General features: G+C 47.2%; 6 annotated features.

Annotated features, from left to right (window-relative positions):
• Positions 1982 to 2521: an enhancer, noted in NCBI's record as "H3K4me1 hESC enhancer chr18:35153683-35154222 (GRCh37/hg19 assembly coordinates)". NCBI's record gives its function as "activates a minimal SCP1, AML or CMV promoter by ChIP-STARR-seq in naive H9 embryonic stem cells {active_cell/tissue: H9 hESC(naive)}" and the evidence as "EXISTENCE:reporter gene assay evidence [ECO:0000049][PMID:30033119]".
• Positions 2522 to 3061: an enhancer, noted in NCBI's record as "H3K4me1 hESC enhancer chr18:35154223-35154762 (GRCh37/hg19 assembly coordinates)". NCBI's record gives its function as "activates a minimal SCP1, AML or CMV promoter by ChIP-STARR-seq in naive H9 embryonic stem cells {active_cell/tissue: H9 hESC(naive)}" and the evidence as "EXISTENCE:reporter gene assay evidence [ECO:0000049][PMID:30033119]".
• Positions 4204 to 4777: an enhancer, noted in NCBI's record as "H3K4me1 hESC enhancer chr18:35155905-35156478 (GRCh37/hg19 assembly coordinates)". NCBI's record gives its function as "activates a minimal SCP1, AML or CMV promoter by ChIP-STARR-seq in naive H9 embryonic stem cells {active_cell/tissue: H9 hESC(naive)}" and the evidence as "EXISTENCE:reporter gene assay evidence [ECO:0000049][PMID:30033119]".
• Positions 5352 to 5925: an enhancer, noted in NCBI's record as "OCT4-NANOG-H3K27ac-H3K4me1 hESC enhancer chr18:35157053-35157626 (GRCh37/hg19 assembly coordinates)". NCBI's record gives its function as "activates a minimal SCP1, AML or CMV promoter by ChIP-STARR-seq in naive and primed H9 embryonic stem cells {active_cell/tissue: H9 hESC(naive and primed)}" and the evidence as "EXISTENCE:reporter gene assay evidence [ECO:0000049][PMID:30033119]".
• Positions 5926 to 6499: an enhancer, noted in NCBI's record as "NANOG-H3K27ac-H3K4me1 hESC enhancer chr18:35157627-35158200 (GRCh37/hg19 assembly coordinates)". NCBI's record gives its function as "activates a minimal SCP1, AML or CMV promoter by ChIP-STARR-seq in primed H9 embryonic stem cells {active_cell/tissue: H9 hESC(primed)}" and the evidence as "EXISTENCE:reporter gene assay evidence [ECO:0000049][PMID:30033119]".
• Positions 13470 to 13971: an enhancer, noted in NCBI's record as "OCT4-NANOG-H3K4me1 hESC enhancer chr18:35165171-35165672 (GRCh37/hg19 assembly coordinates)". NCBI's record gives its function as "activates a minimal SCP1, AML or CMV promoter by ChIP-STARR-seq in naive and primed H9 embryonic stem cells {active_cell/tissue: H9 hESC(naive and primed)}" and the evidence as "EXISTENCE:reporter gene assay evidence [ECO:0000049][PMID:30033119]".

Raw genomic sequence — 19492 nt, forward strand, 5'->3', positions numbered from 1 at the left:
TTAAGGTGACAAGAGTGGGGATTGAGGGTCTAAATGGGCTATAAAAGAATGTAGATAAATTTGATGAACTTAATTGCACTGAGGGGTTAGGAGTTTACTCCTTATCTTCCCCAAAGAATTGACTTTTTTTTTTTTTAAAGGGCAGTGCTCCATCCAGCACAAGCATGTGGTTTTAGCTGCATTTAGGTGAAGCTGGCAGAGCCTGTGCTCTGGAGCCAGACTCCTTGGCTTCAAGTCCTGCCTCTTCCACTTTTTAGCTCTGTGACCTTGGGCAGGTTGTTTAATTTGTTTGTGGCTCAGTTTCCTCATTTGTAAAATAAAAAGAGAAATAAAACCTACCTCATAGAGGTGTTGTGAAGATTAAATGAGTAAATGCAGGTAAAGTGCTTAGATCAATGTCTGGCCAGCCAATATTATCAGTGTCACTAACAGGCCACTGGGGGCTGGGGTCCTGCTGAAGCCCCCTCCCACCTCCTACAAAGGAGGAGGGGCATCCACCTCTGGCTGGGGCTGGACTTGGTGTCCAGACTTGAGATGGACATGCTGTGGGTGTCCTTACAAGCTGCTCAACTGTTCTCAAGGTGCCCCTTGGGGAAGGAGGCCTTCTGGGATAGTAAGTCCTGCATCACAGCCTCTTCTTAGGACCTGCTCTGCGTAGTAGCTGCCAGCACTCTGGTGGTCCCTTCTTCTTACCTGAGAGGTGTTGCCTCAGCAAGTCCTTTTAATTGTGATGTTTTACTAATTAGTTTTTAATTATGTTAATTTATTGTACATGAGCCCTGAGGTTTTCAGGCACTGGGCTCACTTTGGAAACTGGAATAGGAAGTTGTATTTATTACACACACAATGCTATGGGTAAATGTCACTTCAGCAGGGCCACGATTTCTCTGATAATGCCATTAGATCAACAGTTTCTACCTGGGCTCTCTCTAATCCTAACATTCCCCACTGCCTCCAGGCTCCTACACAATCCTTCAGATAATGCAATGCCTCCAGGCTGTGCATGTGACATGAAGGAGTGAGGTGGCTGGGTGGGGCCAGGGGGACACCAATTGGACACAGTCTCAGGAAGGTGAGACTATAGGACCTTTGCACCATGCTACATCTTTAAAGGGTGGTTGTCTGGAGACCTCGGACTCCCCCAGCTGGGTGGACCCTCCTGGTCACTCACTCGGGAGCTGGGTGCTTGACTTCATGGCCTGGGGAGAGGGAGGGAGAGGCTGAGGATGGAGGGGGCACAGGCACAGTCAAGTAGGGGGCTGCAGCTATGGAAGGATATAGGCTTGTGTTCCAAGGGTGGCAGGTGGCCGTGGGTTGGGGGTTTGCAGAAGGGCCAGCTCTTAGGAAAGGCTCAGGGTGGGGACTCAATGACCATATGCTGACTGGCTGATAGTAACACAGAAGAGGGTAATCAACAGTACAAGACCAGGACAAAGAAGATGCCTGGGTATTTCGGAAGGATACAAAGGGAGAAATCACTCCTCTGACCCCCAACACACATATGCTGAGGGGGAGGGTCACCATATTGGGCCCATTTTCCATAAATCATTTCTGCTCTCAAAGGATGAGAATTTGCTGCCATTAGGAATGTTTAAGAGATGTCAGAGGTTTTCAAGAAAGTTGCCATATCCCCCACAATAATTTCTAGATGGCATTCTTCTTTTAGTAAGTTTAAAGTCTTCCAAAGTGTACATGGAATTGTATATATACATTTTGGTGTCTTATTAAACAGATACATTAATATAAATTTTGTTCAAAGAGTACAGTTTAAAGAAATACAGTCTGTAAATACAGTTGGATATTTATTGCTTAAAAATGTATATATCAGACTTAAGTTACTGTACTTTTTATATACATATGTGCATAGGTGCATGCATTGTTTTTAGAAAGAGTTTGGACTTTGAAACCAGACAGATCTTTAACTTACCAGCCATGTAAGCCATGCTCTCAGAGCCTCAATTTCCTCATCAGAAACATGGGTATAACAGTGCATATGATTGTCATGATGACTAAAAGAGGTAATACGTACATAGAGCCTGCTACATGGTGGGTGCCCAATAAATGTTAGCTATGATTATGAGTGTATTTGTTAAATGAACAAACTCATTTCCAGGTATAAGCCATTGCAGAAAATAACTTTGGAATATGTATAATAGCACATGGAGATGTTCTAAGAAAGACGATATTTGGGGTTTCTCCTCAGTGGCCCTCCAAGTGGTGTTAGGGAAATGAAAGACATCCATAATGGGAAACTAGTTTGGCCCCTTCCACATTACAGCAAGTGGATGACATCTCCAGTTGGGGGCAAAGTTGTGTGAGGGTGTGAGGGAGAGAAGCCCATGTCAGGTAGGAGCCCCCACGAGTTTCTTTCAATGCCGCAGCTTCCTGATGCACACCTGCCTTCAGGCTCAGAGAGGCGCTCACCCTGTGGTAAACACCTAGTACCCCCTGCCTCCATTGTCAGGGGAGCCTGCACCCACACACCTGCACATCCTGACACAGGGAGGCTCCCACACAGGCCTTCATCCCCCCACCTCCCCGCCAGGGAGGGTGGGCACGCTGCTGTGACTCACTCCCTGGCCCTGTTCCCTCTCGCTGAGTCACAGTGTAATTGATCCCTCCCTGCGCCAGGTTTCTACTCTCATGTGACCCAAAGCAGGGTCATTGGGCCAGGCTGAATCTAGGCTGGGGTTCTGAGACTGCTGGGTGGGAGAGTTGATCCCAGGAGGGAGGGACAGGCTGTTAGAACCTGCGATGGCTCTGAGCCTTTTACATGACACTCCTGGATGTCTGCTGAGGTGTTGTGTTTGGAGGAGTCAGGGTTGTCCACCACCCACCCATGATATATATCCCCTCCACTGATGTTCCCATCACTGTAGGGCTATCTCCACAGAAGCTGCCTTGGTTAAATAATGAACGGGATGGTTTGGTCTTCGGGAATCTCCTTGAAGACGCCCATGGTCTTTGTGTGTCTGGGACTAGGGTGCCTCATCCTTGTTTCCAAAATGAGGTGTGGGCTTAAAAGATCTGAGGGTGTGAGAGTAGGAAGTTAGGTATGTGTGATCCACACATCATTAAAGGGCAGCTTTACCCCGTGGGGGTCAATCCAGGCCATCCTTACTCCCAAAAAAGAGCCACCTCTCCTCCTGAAGAAATGGGAAACCCCGGCTAACAAGGATAAAACCACAAATCCTCCCAGGCTGGTGGCAAAGGGCAGGGTAAAGGTCACCTCTGCTAAGGGCTTCTCTTAATAGGCAGATCTGGGGTGGGGTGTGCAGGTCCCTAGACCAGCAAGAACTACAACATCACCGCCTTGCCATGGACAAGCCATGCCATTGTTCTTTGTTTCCGTATCCTCATCTATAAAATGGGCAGAAAATTCTCCTTAGAGAAGCATCTAATGAATAGATAAAGCTCTGAGAAGTAACCCTATTATCATAACCCTGCCTCTCCTCCGATTTTTAGTCTTCTCCCATCATCTTGTCTGCTGGGCAGGCAGCAATGTGATGGGATCTGTGCCCACTTTGGGTCTTGATCTCTGCTTCCAGTCCCTGCTCAACATCAAGGCTGCCCCACTGAGGCATTTCCTGCCTCGGGAGAGTGGATTCTGTATTTGGTCATCAAACAACAAAAGGAGCTCCATCTGGGTTCTGGAGGGACTCAGCCAAGACTTGCCCTGTATCCTGGGTCACTGCTTCCCTTTTCTGGACCTCATTCCCTGATTCGTGAGATGGGGACCATATCCTTGCTCTGCATACCTTGTGGGGAGGAATGAGGGTGGACTTGCTACTCAGAGTGCAAGGTGCTTATGCTGTGAATAAGCTCCTCTCCCCACCCACCCTGTCCCTGTCTCTGCACAGCCCCCAGCCTCAGAACAGGCCTGGAACAGAGAAAGCGGCCTGGCTCTCCCATCCATCCTCTTCCTCCGGATTATTTCTCCCAATCACACTTAATAGCTGCCTGGCTTTTGGCTGCAGCCCGGTATATAATAACCTGCAATTATTGTCCACTTAAGCTGTCCCCAGAGCCTTGTCTGTTGCGCTGCCCAGGCCCGCATCGCCGGCCTGCTGATTTCCCTGTCAGAGTCATGGCCAATGGGAAGAAAGCCCTTGACAGGGCTAGACTGACAATGCTTTGGCAGGGCCACCACCTCCCAGGCTGCGACTTCCTAGGAGAGACGGGGCCTCAGAGGCAGCCCCCTCCAGCCACAGCCGCATGCAGCCTGGGAGCCTGCCTTGCTGGGGCCTGGCCCTCTGGGCTGTTCCTGTATGCCCTGCCTCTATATACACGCTACTCTCATTTCAGCCTCTGCCTTTATTTACCCTTTACCTTGTGTGTCCACTTTACTGATTGCTACAGGCCAGTCCCTTTCCCAGCTAAGTTGTTCTTCTCTGCATCCTTATAAGGGAGGCATTGGCTTTTTACATACCAGGCTACTAAAGATCAGAGAGGTTAGGTTTCTTTCTTAGAGTCACATAGCCAGGAAGTGACAGTAAAAATTCAAAATCCAATGGGCTGTTTCCATGGCTCACATATTTAATGCTTATGCTATGCTGTTTCCTGTCTTCCTATCAAGTCCTACCCACCTTGGTGGCTCTGTTGGGTGCCACCTTTCTTGGAAAGCCAGCTTCAGCACTGCAGCAACCCTGGCCTGTCTGGCTCTGAACCCATACAGCCCTTGAGCATGCCCGAGATTCCCTTGGTCCTGTGTGGGCAGTGGATGAGTTCCCCTGCTTAGCTCTCCTCTGTCATTTAGTTCCTAAACTATCACTGTGCAAATTGGATAAAGCTGAGCCTTTGCAGTTGTCCACGTTCTCCCCTTCTTAGCTTCGACTCGCATTCTCATGAACATCTCTCCTAGAGCCTGGTCCTCACTGCTCCTGACAAGGGACCTCGCCCATCTGTTTGGTAAACATTTAAATTATCTCTGTGGTACCACCTGGCCCTGATGGTGGTGAGGGTGATGATGATGGTGATGATAAAAGTAGCTTTCTAGGCTGTGAAAACACATGCAGGTTCTGTGCTATCATTGGGAGATGGCAAAATCTGAGGGTGGGAGTATTTTCATGTCACTCTGAATCTAATAATTAAATGATCACGGACAAAAGAGGGTGTCCAGACCCTAACTGAGGCTGGTTGTCTTCGTCAGTGAGTGTGTGTGTGCACATGGTCCAGAGTGCAGTGGCTAGGATGGACCCTGGGGCCTGGGGACTGCCAGGACCTGTGATAAATGGAGCCCCAAGTCTGCTGGACTGACAGGCCAGAACAACCAGGGGGCTGTGGGCTGAGGGAGGCTCTGAAGGACACTGTATCTGGAAGGTCCTCCATTGGCTGTCACATTGGGCTCTGGGCTATCAGCAGAGAGGGAGTGGAGCCAAGATCCAGAGTCTGGTGGGTCCACCCTCTTGTCTGGGCCCCAGGCCAGTCCTTCCCCAGCCCTGCTCACAGGACACACCCTTTCCCTTCTGGGCTCACTCATCCTTTGCCTGAATGTTCCTCACTGCTGCTTGCATTTTTCTTCCTTTGTCTTGCAAACAGATTCTCAGCAAGGAACCTTTGTTGGAAATCAGTGTTGGGGCAGCCTGGGGCCTTCTCTGGCCCTTCAGGTCTTACAGGTTAAGTCTGAGGCTGGCCTGAAGATAAACTGCCATGGGGCTGTCTGGGGCCTCCTTCCTTCTTCTGTGCCATCCGGGGAGGCTTGGGAGCCCTCCCTGACTTGGCGCTGAGGGAGGCAGAGGGCCTGTGTCTCCTGCTCCACACCCTCGCTGTTCCCCCAGCGGGCGGGGATGCTTTAGCAGCTCTGCCTGCTCTACGCTGTTTCTTGGACTGGAAATGCCCCTGTCGGTCAGATCCCTGGCCTTTAGCCCTGGGGTGGGGCCTCTCAGGAAGAGCCTGGGCAGGGATCCTCAGCTGGGGGCAGTGCAGATGAGGAAAGGGGCCAGAACCCACCACACCAGCTGCCCCCTGCGGCAGCATCCGGTTCCAGGGCTTTACACTGTGAAGGGCCAAACTATGCAGTGGCCTTCACTTTCTCTAACTGCCATTTACTCCCCTGGCCCCTGTCACACCCATGCCAAGGGTAGAGGAAGACTTCAGACCTGCTAGTTAAAGGTAACACACCCTCTTTTCAGTGTAAACTAGTCTTGTATGGGCAAATCTCCCATCTTTAGAGGTTTTCCTCCTCTCCCCTCTAGCTGAGATGGCATTTGAGGTAGGGGAAACATACACATCCTGTGTGGGAGAGGGGGCCTTGGATTGTCCTCAAACTGTGTCCTCTGGGGCCTTGGTGGGCCTTATGGGGTGTGGTTGCCACTGTCTGGGTCGTGGGAGCCCCAGAGCCCAGCCCACCAAGCCCCGGTTGGCCACTGTGCTTGCAGGTATCCTCTGGGTCCCCCTATACCTTCCTACATCCCCTTCAGGGAGGGGGCCTGGGGCACACCCTGGCTTCCAGCTTTCTTCCTGTGCATCCCACGTAGATCACTTCTGGAACTCTCCTGCACCACAGGCAGCTAGGATGGACAGGGAGAGGAGGGGGATGATCTATTTAAACTTACCTTTCTGCCTAGACCCACTCTCCTTTTACTCCTCTAGGTAGTGGCCACAGGTGGTCCAGAGCCACCCAAACAGGAGGTGGAGCCCAGTCTTCACAGCTTTCAGCTTTGTTTGAAATGGGCCTGTTTTCTCCTCCCTCCCCCTTCACTACTTAAGTTTCAGCTCTGAGATGGGAGGAGTGGCTGGCTGGGGTGCCGCGGGAGGCTTGCTCTGCCCTCATCCTCCCCTGATCAAGGCAGCCTCTGGACTCTGTTCCTCACTATGTCCCTTCCTGCAGGTGCATAGACACTGAGGACGGTCCTATAGCTCATTCACTCTGTGAGCCAGCCCAGCACCATGCTTGGCACCGTGGCTAAAAGAGCAGAAAACAACCAGTGCCACCGAGTGCTGAATTTGCTTAAGACATTTGTAATACAAAAAACCCCAAAACTCCAAACCCCCAAACCGAAACCCAAATTAAATATTTCCTTCTGGGGTGGCTTTTTAAACTAGTTTTGATCATGTGAAGTGTAAATTCTTAGCTACCTAGAGAGCCTGACAATCCAAAAGGATTCATTTGTCAAATATTTAGGTTGGTCAAGATTAAGCATTTACTAGTGTGTAGAAGAGATGTGATTGTAAACTGATCAGACAAGTTTTATATGCAGATGTTCTAACCACTGTCATCACGTATAGGCACGTCCTTCAACACAGCACCCTCCTTCCTGTGTGTGTGTGTGTACGCGCGTGCAGCGTGCACGTGTTTGTCAGGGACACACGTGTGAGAGCACGTCTTCTTCATTGGGTTTATTTTCTTTGTGCTGCTAATGCTTTTGGCCTCTGGGGGTGCTATATATATACAGATACGGAATTTGAGAAACACAGGATTTTCAACCTGAAAGGAACCGTAGGTATTTTCTAATCTACTTTTCTCATTTTACGCCTTTGGCAATGTCCAGAGAGTTGAGGTGACTTGTTCAGGGTTAGATAGAGAATGTAGATCTGTCTCTGTCTTTCTCACGTGCACACATGCACATCCACACTCACTGTCTGGTAATGGTAATGGATGGCTGTTTCCTCTCTTTTTCTCCCCCTCTCCATGTGCCTCCTTTCCTCCATCAGTCTGTCTCTCTTTCCTCCTCTCCTTCTGTTCTGTGGTCCTGGCTGGCAGCTGAGGATGGCACAGGGCGTGCAGAGGCTAGCTCCCAGGGAGGCTGCCCCAGCAGCTGGCTGTGCCCCAACTCCCCCCTCCTCCCTGAGTTGGGAAATGGAGGCACAGTGTGTTCCCTGGCTTCCCTATTAGTCAGGAACCTAAGGGAGCACTACCTCAGTCCTGGGGAAGAGCAAAGAGGAAGGACAGATGACTCTGTTTGCAACCGGATCCCCCTTCCCTGGCTGTCTCCAAGTGGAGCTGACTTTCTCCTAGGGGAGGAAATGGGGTTTCCTCCTTGACACTGCTCCTTCCTGAATCCTTTTCTCTAGCCCAAGCCACATAGCCTCCAGTTCAACTACCCCTTTAGGGAAGATGCAATGCTATTTGCTTCATATCCAAAAAGCCCAGGGAAATGCTGCCTGCTCTAACCCCCTCTAATCCTGGTATTCTGGTGCTGAAGTGTGGCTCTCAATCCTAAACCAGCTCTGTGGAAATGACATTTTGGACAGATCTTGTTTTCCATTCTCAGATTTGGAATGGCCCTTTGAAGGCCTCTCTGTTACTCCTATGGTCATTGGAGGAAGCCATCTTCCAGCATTCCTGTTTCTCCAGTCTGCTTAAGCACTGCCATCAAAGGAGAGCTCACTCCTTCACACAACAGCCAATACCTTTACAAACTCCGGCTCTCATGTGTTTCTCCCCAAAACACCCATTCTTGAAACCGATAGCTACCCTTGCTTTTTCCTCTTTGTTTCTCGTTGTTCTGTAACACTCAAAGCTGGCCTTTGCCCCCCGCACTTTACCAGAATTATTTTTACAAAAATCCTCAGTAGCTTCCTATTGGCCAAATCCAGTAGCTATTTTTAAAGTCTTCATTTTAATGCTGTTAATCACTTTATCTTGGAAATCTCTTTCTTTTCTCTCAGGACACACATTGTTCTTTCTTTGTTAACTTACTGCTTTCTGTCAGTCCCCTCGACTGGGTCCTCTTTCTCTGTGCAGTCCTTAAATGCTGGGTTACCTTTGTCCCATCTTTGAACTTTTCTTCTTTGCAGTTTTCACAATCTCTTAGGGCCACCACCTGCTTGCATAGGGTAGCAGTTCTCCATACAAGGCAACATGTCTAGTCTAATCTTTCTTACTGAGCTTCAGCTCCTCATTCCCAGCCTCTAGAGGGCTCCAAGAGAAGAATGCTAGATTTGGGGTGACTCTCTTCTCATGAGAAAAAGAATCTCCCCCACTTGAAGTCCCTACCTTGGCTAGTGACCCCGTCTTTTACCCAGTCATCTCAGCCTGGACACGCATCACCCTTGACCATATCCTCTCCCTCATCCTGGAGATGCCCTTGGTCAGCAAATCCCACTGGTTCTCCTACATTTTCACCTTTCTCATTCTCCTTACACTGTTGCCAAAGTCAGCCAACTGGTTTCTTTGTATTGACCCTGCCTTTTCTGACCCAAATACAGTTCAGTCTGTGCACAGAATGACCTTTCTAAAACACAGATCTGGTCTTGCCAGTTTCCTCCTTAAAAGCCTTCTGTGTCTCCCCATTACCTCCAAGATAGAGCCCAGCTCATTGACTTGGTCTTCCCGGATCCTCACCACTCACCCTGTCCCATCTGCCACCCCTTCTGGACCCTTCTCCTGTGACCTCTTTCCTCCCCTTGTCCTGGGTTCCCGAACCCGGCTCCTACCACTCTCATCCTCACCCCCTCTGCTTCTATCCAGTTTGACAGCCATCCACAATATTTCTCACCCTGTTTTTCTTCCTGGAACCCTCTTCCTCTTTCTTTTGCTCACTAATCCCTGGTCAGTTTTCACTTTTCTGCTTGAACATCACTGCTTCAGGGAGGCCTTACTTGCCTGACTGCCCAGACTAAGAAGGATAACGCATTGTGCACTCTTAAGGTATGTGGTGCTTTTTATAGTCATCTGCCTAATAGCAATTGTTTAATTAATTACTTGCTCACCTCCTCCCACCCCAGTAGATTGTAAGGCTCATGAGGGCACAACTATGGCTTTCTTGTTCAGTTCTGTATCTTCAGGCTTGGCTCCCTGTGTGTACAAGAAATACTCATTGTCTGTCTGGGTGGCTGGAGAGCCTCAAATGTCAGCCTGAGTAGGATCTTGATCCTGTGAGCAATAGAGTGCTGAAGGTTGTCCCCAATATGATGATGACTTGATCAAATTTTGGGTTTAGGAAGATTGGCTGGGGAGCTTCATGTAGGTTTGGATGGAGGCAGGTGGTATTGGGAACTGGGGTGCTGGCAACAGTACAGGTGTGAGATACCTTTTCCATTCCTATCCCATCTGCTTCCAGTGGAGAGTCTAGATGATGCAGTCAATGTGTGCATAAATGAAAATGAAATGAGTCCAGGAATGGGCTTATAATAAACTCAGCCCATAGCTGTGAAATGACCTTACCTTATTGTGAGAAGCATATTTTTCTCTCCCCATTTTCTGTTTTTTTTTCTCCCCATTTTCTGTTTTTTCTAAATCTGTTCTTATTTCATTTCTTGGTCCTCATCTTCTCCTTCAAGGGCTATATCCAGAAAAGGATGCTTTCTAATGTTCCTATCTAATTGCCTGCTAATTTGTTAGTATTATTGCTAGTCTCTACAATACAGATGCAACTTTCAGATATCTTATCTGGAGGTTTCAACCCCAGGGAAGAATAAAATTGCAGTAGGAAGAGTCCAAAAAGTGGCTGTGGTTCTGAGGCTCAGACTGGCAAAATTGGTAGCTTTTCCCAGCTCTAATTTCTGTGACAGGAACAAAAAGCACCCTCTTATGGCTCTGTCTCCCCTGACCCATGCTCTCCAGCACAGTGACAAGTGGGAGTGTGTTTTTTTTGCTCTTTGTTATACTGGGTTCTGCCCCATCTTTCTAAAGCAATCTTATAAATCATTGATGAGAATATTTCTATTTTTGTCTTAAATATCCTAGCCAAGAAAGCCTTATGAATACTTTCCAAATCAAGTGCTGGCATTGCACGATGCTTCCTCATTGATGGCAGGCCCATTTCATTGTTTTTTCACTTCTTGGCTCTGCTTTCCATGGCAGCAGTGCCAAGTCTCAGCTTGAGGGTGGGGGAGAGGGTTGACCCTGATGCAGAACCCTGTGTGCCTCCCTTTCTTGGACAAGAGCTCCTTCCTTTCTTCTTGCCCATGACTGTCATACACGATTCCCACTACACCACCCTCATCTTAGACTTTTCAACCTTGGAATGCTGTAAATGATGACTGGTATTTTTTCTCAGTAAGGTTTCCTCCTGCCCTTCATCCTGCTTCTGCACCATTTTCCCTCCATCCCCATCATCATCCATTCTGTGTCTAGTCATTCAAGTCACTTGAATATCAACCTTCCTTGAATGTAAAAGAGACCCTCTCATGTAGTAGATTCTAGACCCTGCTAGTTCATAAGGACCATGTCACTCTCACTTACCACTGTGTTTGGGCACTTACACAGGGGCCTGGCACATGGTAAGCACTCAATAAATATTTGATGAATTGGGGAATACATGAGGAAATGAAAGACCTAAAGGATTGGGTGCCCTAATGCTGAATCTCCTCCCTCCCTGAGAACCACCTGGACCTGACACTCTAAGACGGCTAATGCAGGACTTTTCTGAAGCTTGAAAAGTATTCTCTACAGAGAAAGAAATGTTGTTCAAATGCATCTTTTCTGATGATCCGCAACTTGTTTGGATTTTTCTTTTACTTTTATGTTTTTTCAACATTCATGTCAATAATTTACATTACCCGTCTCTTGCTTAGGTATTGCTTAGCTTTGCTCTTTCATGTGAGTAAGTCTTGTATTCCTGAAGAGAGTAGAAATACTGGGAGGGAGAAACTGAGTCCATTTACTTTATAGCCCAACTACAAGACTTCATGCAGCCAGAATTTAAGAAACACTTCCAACTTGCTGACTGAGTGAATGGGTCTTAAGCCTGACATCCACTTTTATTTTTAACATTATAGGTTAGAATTTAAACCCAGGAGGGAATGAATCCTCTTTCTTATGACTTATATCATCCTTGTCTGACAGCACAAAGTGTTATGGATTTATATGGTTTATCTAATTGTGTAGGTATGCAGTATGAAAATGTTAGGTAAATCAAAATTATTTAGGAGACTGGGTGATTTAGTTTTTGCAATAATTAGATGCTTCAGAGAATTCATTCCTTAGTATTTTGATAATTGTTTTGATAACACACTTTCTTTGTTGTGGTTTACCTGTCAGCAGGAAATGATAATCCAGGAACTCCATAACTGTCCATCAGTCTAGTACAGACTTGATTGGAGCTCACTATGATCAATGATGGGCTACCAGCCATCTATGCCATCCTCCCTGCCCCAAGGAGCTGCCAGTGCTGGGCAAGGCAGATGCATGCCTGTGATTTAAGGCCAAACATGGAAATACATATTTGGGCACATAGAGAAGGATGAAGTTTCTTCTCATCAGGAGATCGATGAAGACCTCCTGCAGGAGTCCACATCTGGATAAAGTGTTGAAGGAGAAGTTTGATCTTACAAGCCAGGACTGTGCCTAATTCCTAGGAGGTGTCCGTGCCTAATTCTAATTAGGAATTAGGAATTCCTAATTCCACAAATGTTTGCTGGCAGTCTGAAAGAGGACAGTGGCATTCTGGGCAGAGAGAAAGAGCAAGAAACAGGAGAGCAGAGAGGGCAACGCTCATTTAGGGTTGAGTGAGTCGTGTTTTCAACCTGAAGCTGAAGCCTGAGGTGTCTGAGCCAATAGTTGGGGACAAATCTGGTTGGTTGGTTGGAGGCTGAGTGTGAAAGTCCTTGAATTAAGCTGAGGATTTTAGATTTCAATCAGAAGCCAAAGGAACTCCCTGAACGCGTGGGAGCAGGGACAGGACATGCTCTGAGCTGTGCTTCAGGAAGGCCAGGCTGACATTGGTAAGAAGGCCATATTGGCATGGAAGGGCTGGGGTAGAGGGAATCTTTGGGAGGGAATCACAGGTAATTGGGTGGGTGGGAGGGCAGGTTGCAGGGTCATGAACCTCAACAGTAATGGCGGGTGGCAGAGGGGCTATGTGAAGAGAGAGTCTCAGATCATGCAAGACTGGGAGATGCCTTCACAGGTGGTTTGTCCTGAGAGCCTCTCCTTCTCCTCTCCCTCTCCCATCACCTTCTCTTACATAATGTCAACAATTTGGGGAGTCTGGCTTCTGCATCTCCCACCACCCAGGGAGACTCTAGCTCAGGGGGAGGATTGACTTTAGGCAGGTGTGAGTGGATATGAATTTATTAAGATCCTTATTTATTTATCAGTTGCTATTTAATGCCTTCCTGTGGTCTAAAGGATTTGAGGGAGATAGTGTGAATGTATGTAAATGTGTTTTTCCACCAAATGGGGCCCACACTTTCAGCCTGATCTCTTAGTCCACAGCACCAGAGTTGAGAGGAAGGGGTTTGAATCCTAGCTCTTCCACCTGCCAGCTACATGACCTTCAGCAAGTTACCTGTCTGCTCTGAGCCTCCGGGTTCATACTTGTGGAGCTGGGATGAGCATAATCGACCTCCGGCTTTGTTTATGGATTAACTGAGATCATACATGCCACATGTTTAGTGTAGCATCTGAGGCACAGGAAGCACCCAGGTGGACAGTCAATATCAGATAGACTCTTAACTCTTATTATTCTTATTACTTCTTCAGGTGTGTGAGGGCAGGGTGGGAGGGATTCTTAATGTGGGTATCCTACCTTACCTTTCCTAAGCCCTTGCTACTGCATCCTGTGCCTGGCCACCTGCCTCGCTAATGTGATAAAGAAGCACATATATTCTCCCAAAGCATGCATTCCTGTCCTGTTCCTGATGTTCTCTGGCATCAAATCCTGCCCATTTTGACAACTGCCACAGAGGGAATACCCGTAGGTGAAGGTGCTCACATTTCTATTAGGACTAATTCATTAGATGCACTCTATAAAGACCTAGGAGGCAAAATAAAACATGGCCTCTGTCCTCGGAGAATTCCTATGAAGGGAGGGGAAGTACAGGCATTTACATAGATAATCACAGAACAATGAGACAGGCCATCAGAGGGCTGGGTGCCCTGCTGTGGGAGCAGACTAGCTTTGAGCGTGCTAGGTTTGAGATGAGTTGGGAAGGAGCAAGAGCACCTGGCACATGAGGGAAGGAGGTGTTCTGACCAAAGGGGCGACTGGCACACAGTGTGTTGGGGAAACTGCAAGTGGCTCAGTAAAACCAGACTGTGGAGTTTCTAATGGGGCATTTGTGTATCAGCAAGGAGTCTAATAGTGGAAAAAGTAGGAAAAAGGCACTGGAGCGGGTGGACTGGGGACATGTTTTAATGGGCCATCCATGTGTTCCTCAAATCACTCCCAGATCATCACCACTTTCTTCTATGATTGGTCTTTACCCACAAGCTCTGCATTGTATTTCCTGGTGTGACACTAAGATGAAAAATGAATAACTTCTTTTATTTTACTAGATTTCTAATCAATATCTTAATCTTCTTGAATCTTTTTTTTTTTTTTGGAGAGGGGTATTCAGTGTCAAAGAGTGTCTGGCTTCATCAGTTCAGGGTATCACCTGTGCCCCATCTCCTACCCTTGGCAGAGGGCGGCAGGACAGCTGTTAAACAGCTGCCCGAGGAGACCTGAACAGTCCATTCCCACATCCTCCACCTACCTGAGGCTCTTGAGAGGCCAGTGCTTCTGACTGGTGCCCCCAGCACTGGCGCTACTCCAGTGTGATGGTAGGAGCTGGCTTCAGCATGGCCGTCTGAGAAGGGCTTGAAGAAATGAATGTGGAGGCACCTTTCAGGCATCAGAGCCCTGCCAGCTTCCAGAACTGCGCTAGTGACTTAGGGCAGACTACACCTGCCCTGGGACCATTTGCAAGGGCTTTTGGTCCAACACAGGACTTTAGCTGCCGTCTGGGACTAAGGATAGGTCTTTGTTTTTCACTTTTTTGTTTCATTCTCCATCTGGCTTATGTTCCTTTTCATTTGCACTTAATACCAAAGGACTATGGGGGAAATCACTGATGTTATATTTACTGCTGAGGACTGAACAGGCCAGCTTCTTCCTCATGGCACTCAAGGGCCCACGTGATGTGACCCTCCAGGGGCAGTTCTCTCTTTCCTATTTCAAACCCTTTGCCCTGGTAGGGCCATCTCTTCTGTCTCATTTCCAACAGGACTCCTTTGAGCCTGCAGCTCTTGGTTGCCTCTGCCTGTGATGCCCAACTGCCCCCACGCGCCCCATCCTGCACCCCAGCCTGGCCTGCTCATTCTTGGAGGCCCAGGCCTGGGATCAAACCCTTGGTGATGGCCTTTCTTGCTGTCTGTGGCCTCACATATTGCAGAGATCAGAACTGGGAGCCCCAAGAGCATCTAAGGGTCTGAGAACACATATGAGTCACTGTTAATTCATGTCCACGAGCACAGTGACTTCCCGCACTGCCCTATCAGCTTCCAAAAGGCAGGGACTTCTCACTTCCTGTCTTCCCTGAGATGCCCCGCACGGGACAGGACACAGGAATGGTTGCCAGCTAGAATAGCTTATCCGTAGAGTGTCCTTTTGTTCTGCTGACTTTATTTTCTTCACAATAACATTCTTTTTGGTAGAGGATCAAGTGTGAAATGCCAGCATTTGAGTTTAAGGGGCCCTAGATAGGCATTTGCTACATTCCAACCTGCAGGCAGGGGTGTGTCCAGCCCTCTGGGCAGACCCTCACCCGCCCCTTCCTCTGTGGGCTGCCCCTCTCTGGACTGTATTTGGCAGACTGGAGAAACTCTCTTAGGTTTTATCCCTGAGGGCCTAGTGTGCAGCCTGCTCCGTCCTAGGTTCTATGGGTAGATGGGAGAAGCAGAAGTCTCGGCCTTTGCCTTTGGAAGCTTGGGATACTGTCTCAAGGGCAGTGCTGGGTCTCAGGGGATGGGGAGGTTTGGACGACAGGGAGGCCTGGGAAAGCCATTCTAGGTGGGGGAGAGGTGCCCCGGGTAAGTCAGGCCTGTTTTGGGTCTTGCCTCTGGTACAACTCCTGTGTGACCTCTCCTCTCTGGACCTCTATTTTCTCCTCTGTGAAATGGGTATAATCAACTGCTTACTGGCCCACCGGGTTGCGGGACAATGACCTGGGGTAACATGAGGGGAAATGGGGAAATGCTTTTCTGAGGATGAGGGCAGTGTCTGAATGAGGGGTGATGCCAGGACTGCCTCAGTAAACGTAAACTTCACCATCTCGTTTCATAGGTCATTTGGGGGGTGGGTTGTATTCTTTAAAGTTTTTTTTTTTTTTTTTTTTTTTTTTTTTTTTTACCATGGAGTAATGGTACGGTTAATGTATTGTTATAACATGCAGCAGTACCAATTTATCATAGCAGGACCCCTTCCTTGAGAGAGAGAGTGAGAGAGTGTGTGTGTTTGTGTGTGTGTTGGAGAATCGCACCACGGGGACTTCTGGCTGAAAAAGAAACCTGGAAATGGTTGAGGTTCATCAATCTCATCAATCAGTAGGTTCGTAGCTCCCTATCCGATCACTTTTAAAAGCAGTTTAAGGCAGAACTTAAAGGGAGGTACCCTAGAGGACCCGGAAATTTAACCCAGGACAAGGTTTAATTGGGGAAGTAGGTATGTGTTCTCAGACACTCATTGTGCTCAGGTCTGGCCTCTTTCCCCAGCTGTAGAACAAAAGGCTGTCTGCAGGCTTCAGCCTAGAGCTGGAGGTGAGGAAGGAACCTTACTAATGGGTGCGCGTTTGGAATTGAGTTCCTTTGGAATCAGAACAAAAATGTCTTAGGATAATGGGATCTGAGGCTCATTCTTACTCTTTCCTGTTTCACTGGAATTCTAAAGATCAGAGTATACACTTTGGAATCTAGACTTTTTGTTTTCCTGGTTTGATTGATTGATTGATTAATTAATTGAGTGCTCTGGCCTGCAGACTGAAGTAATTTGAATTAGTTGCCAACATTAAAAAGTGAGAACCTTCAGAAGGTCTGGACAAGTTGGGCCCCGATTCCTGGGGCTGAGCAGAGAGGGCGCCCTGTACTCTCTCAAGACACAAGCTGTCCAGCTGCCTTTGCAGCTCAGGTCACCTGTTTGGGTCTGGAAGCACTTGAGTTTGCAGCCCTGGAGTGGTCAGCTGCACTGGTGGGTGTCTGTGAGTACTCTTACATTGATAGGCTAGAGCACCTCATGTACCTCAGACTATTGTCCTTGCCAATCACAACCAGTTTTCTGAAACCAAAGCAGTCATTTCTCACCTGTTTTGAGCTCCATAGCTTCTCCTCTGTATTTCCAAGTATGGATGTGATCTGAAGCCAATGAACTTGGGTAGGGCTGTACTTGGCTGGGATCAGAGAAGCTTTAAGCAGGGGTGGGGGCAGTCAACTTTAAAAGGTGTTTCAGAGGGTAGAGTTTTTGGTGGTCAGAGTCATGCAGATGACTTTGCTCTTCTGATATAGATTCTCCAGAAATTTTGCCCCTGTAGGAAAGAAAATTTTTTTTTTCCCAAAGGCATAAGAAACTTGGGAGAAGTGGAAATACATGCAATCTATTTTTAACACATTTTAATATATTGTCACTTAAAAATTTATGAATGTAAATACTTATTAATTATAAATTTTTGATAATATATATGTTGATAATGCATAGAAATGTGAAAATATAGAACAAAGTCATATGCTTTCAGTGGTAAATGAAGATATCTTTATTTTAAAAGCCAGATCTTTTTTAGAACATAACACATTCATTTTAGATACTCAGGGAACTAGACTAGGGGACCTCCTAAAGGCCCTGAAGCTCAGAGGCCGTATGGAAATGCGTCTCCTTATTTTCCATCTAGTCAAATGGTGAAACAATTCTATAAAACTCCGTCTGTTGATCGGTTATGCTGTCTCTATCTGTGCTCTAACTAACATTGTACTAAGAAACGCATTTTTCTCTCTCCTGACTTAGATTTAAATCTTGCAATCACCACTGGGAAGTGAGCTGTATCATCTTGAGAAATCAGACCACAGAGACGAGCCTGCAGCTGGCAGGCTGGGTCATCCTTAATCGCTTAACCCTTCATATCAAAGGATAGGTTGTAGCAGCAGATTCCTTCTTTAGAATTTGCTATGGCAGGATTTGTCAAGGAAAAGCTGGAAGTTAAAATGAAACAGTGTGTATAGCAAAAACCTTGCCTTGTAAATTGACTTTTGTGCCTATACATGCGACTGGTTTTATGTAACTCTGTCCTTGTGGGTATGTGTTTGTGTGAGTACAAGTGTGACTGATGTGTGTGTACATGTGCTTTTGTGTGAGGATATGTAGTAAGTATGTGCATATATGGATGTGAGTGTGTGAATGTTTGTGGGTACATGTCGTATGTCTTAGGAAAATTCTTCCCTGTATCATAAAATAAGATCCAGGTTATTCAAGCCTAGCATAGATTGTTTGAAAAAAAAAGAAAGGCTGCAATAATCCCCTTCCTTGTATTTATACTCTTGTATTAGTGCCCTCCTAAACTGACTCTTGGCTTTGCTTTTTTTTTTTTTTTTTTTTTTTTGATACAGACTCTCACTCTGTCACCAGGCTGGAGTGCAGTGGCGCAATCTCGGCTCACTGCAACCTCCCAGATTCAAGTGATTCTCCTGCCTCAGTCTCCAGAGTAGCTGGGACTACAGGCATGTGCCACCACGCCCAGCTAATAATTTTTGTATTTTTAGTAAAGCTGGGGTTTCACCATGTTGGCCAGGACGGTCTCAATCTCTTGACCTCGCGATCTGCCCACCTCGGCCTCCCAAAGTGCTGGGATCACAGGCTTGAACCACCATGCCTGGCCAACTCTGGGCTTTTCTTTAGTTAGTGACACATTACCAAGTGGGAGGTGATGACTTGAGGTAACATGAGACATCTGAAAAAGAATTGCATATTGAAGTCATCCTCCTCTGCTGTTCTTGGGAACCCTCAACCACTACAATGTTGATGATCCTGGGCTAGCCTGCTGGGAGTATATGGCCCATTCACACCTGTTGCTCCAGCTAACTGCCATGACAAACTGCCAGACATGTGAATGAGGTCATTCTAGACCTAGCAGCCTCCATCTCACCTGTGAGTTCTATGCAACCACAGGCGTGAGCCCCAGGGAGCCCAGCAGAAGAACCACTCTGCTGAGCTTAGCCCAGCTTGCTAACCTGTATAATCATGAGTTAATAATAATTAATTGTTGTTCCAAATCACTAAATTTTGGAGTGGTTTGTCACACAAACAGAGCTAATTAACTCCTCTAGGTGGTATAGGAGGAAAAATCTCTCCATTGGAGAAAGTGGTGTGTGGTGGGCATAAATTGTAAGAAGACATGTAATTCCATGTTTAAACATGCTTTATAATCCTGGACTCACCTTATAAGTTTAAAGACATAAAAATTAGTATTTATTGGAGGACCTATCATTAATTTTCACACAGAAATGCTAATTAGCAAGGTAAGTAAGAACCCAGGACGAAAGTGCTGGCATGCTCCAACAATACTGAGGACCTGGGAGAAAAGTCATAAAGCAGCAAACCCAGGGAGGATGTTATATTACATAATCTGCTGTAGAAGCTATGGCTTGGCCTCTGAAAGTGATAGTATTCATCTCATCTCAGCTCCTAGCCTGTCTCCATGGGGAGGGCAACTCTTCAGCCTCTCTTGCCTAGGAGCTCACCTCAGGCATCTTGACTCCTTGAAGAACAGCTCCTATAAAATGAGACTCTGAGAGAAATAAGATTCTCTTCCCTGCCTGAGGCCTGCCTTTCGGGAAACTGCCACCTCTTTGGATAATTGACTC

This window comes from Homo sapiens, chromosome 18, assembly GCF_000001405.40.
Source record: "Homo sapiens chromosome 18, GRCh38.p14 Primary Assembly".
Lineage (NCBI taxonomy): Eukaryota > Metazoa > Chordata > Mammalia > Primates > Hominidae > Homo > Homo sapiens.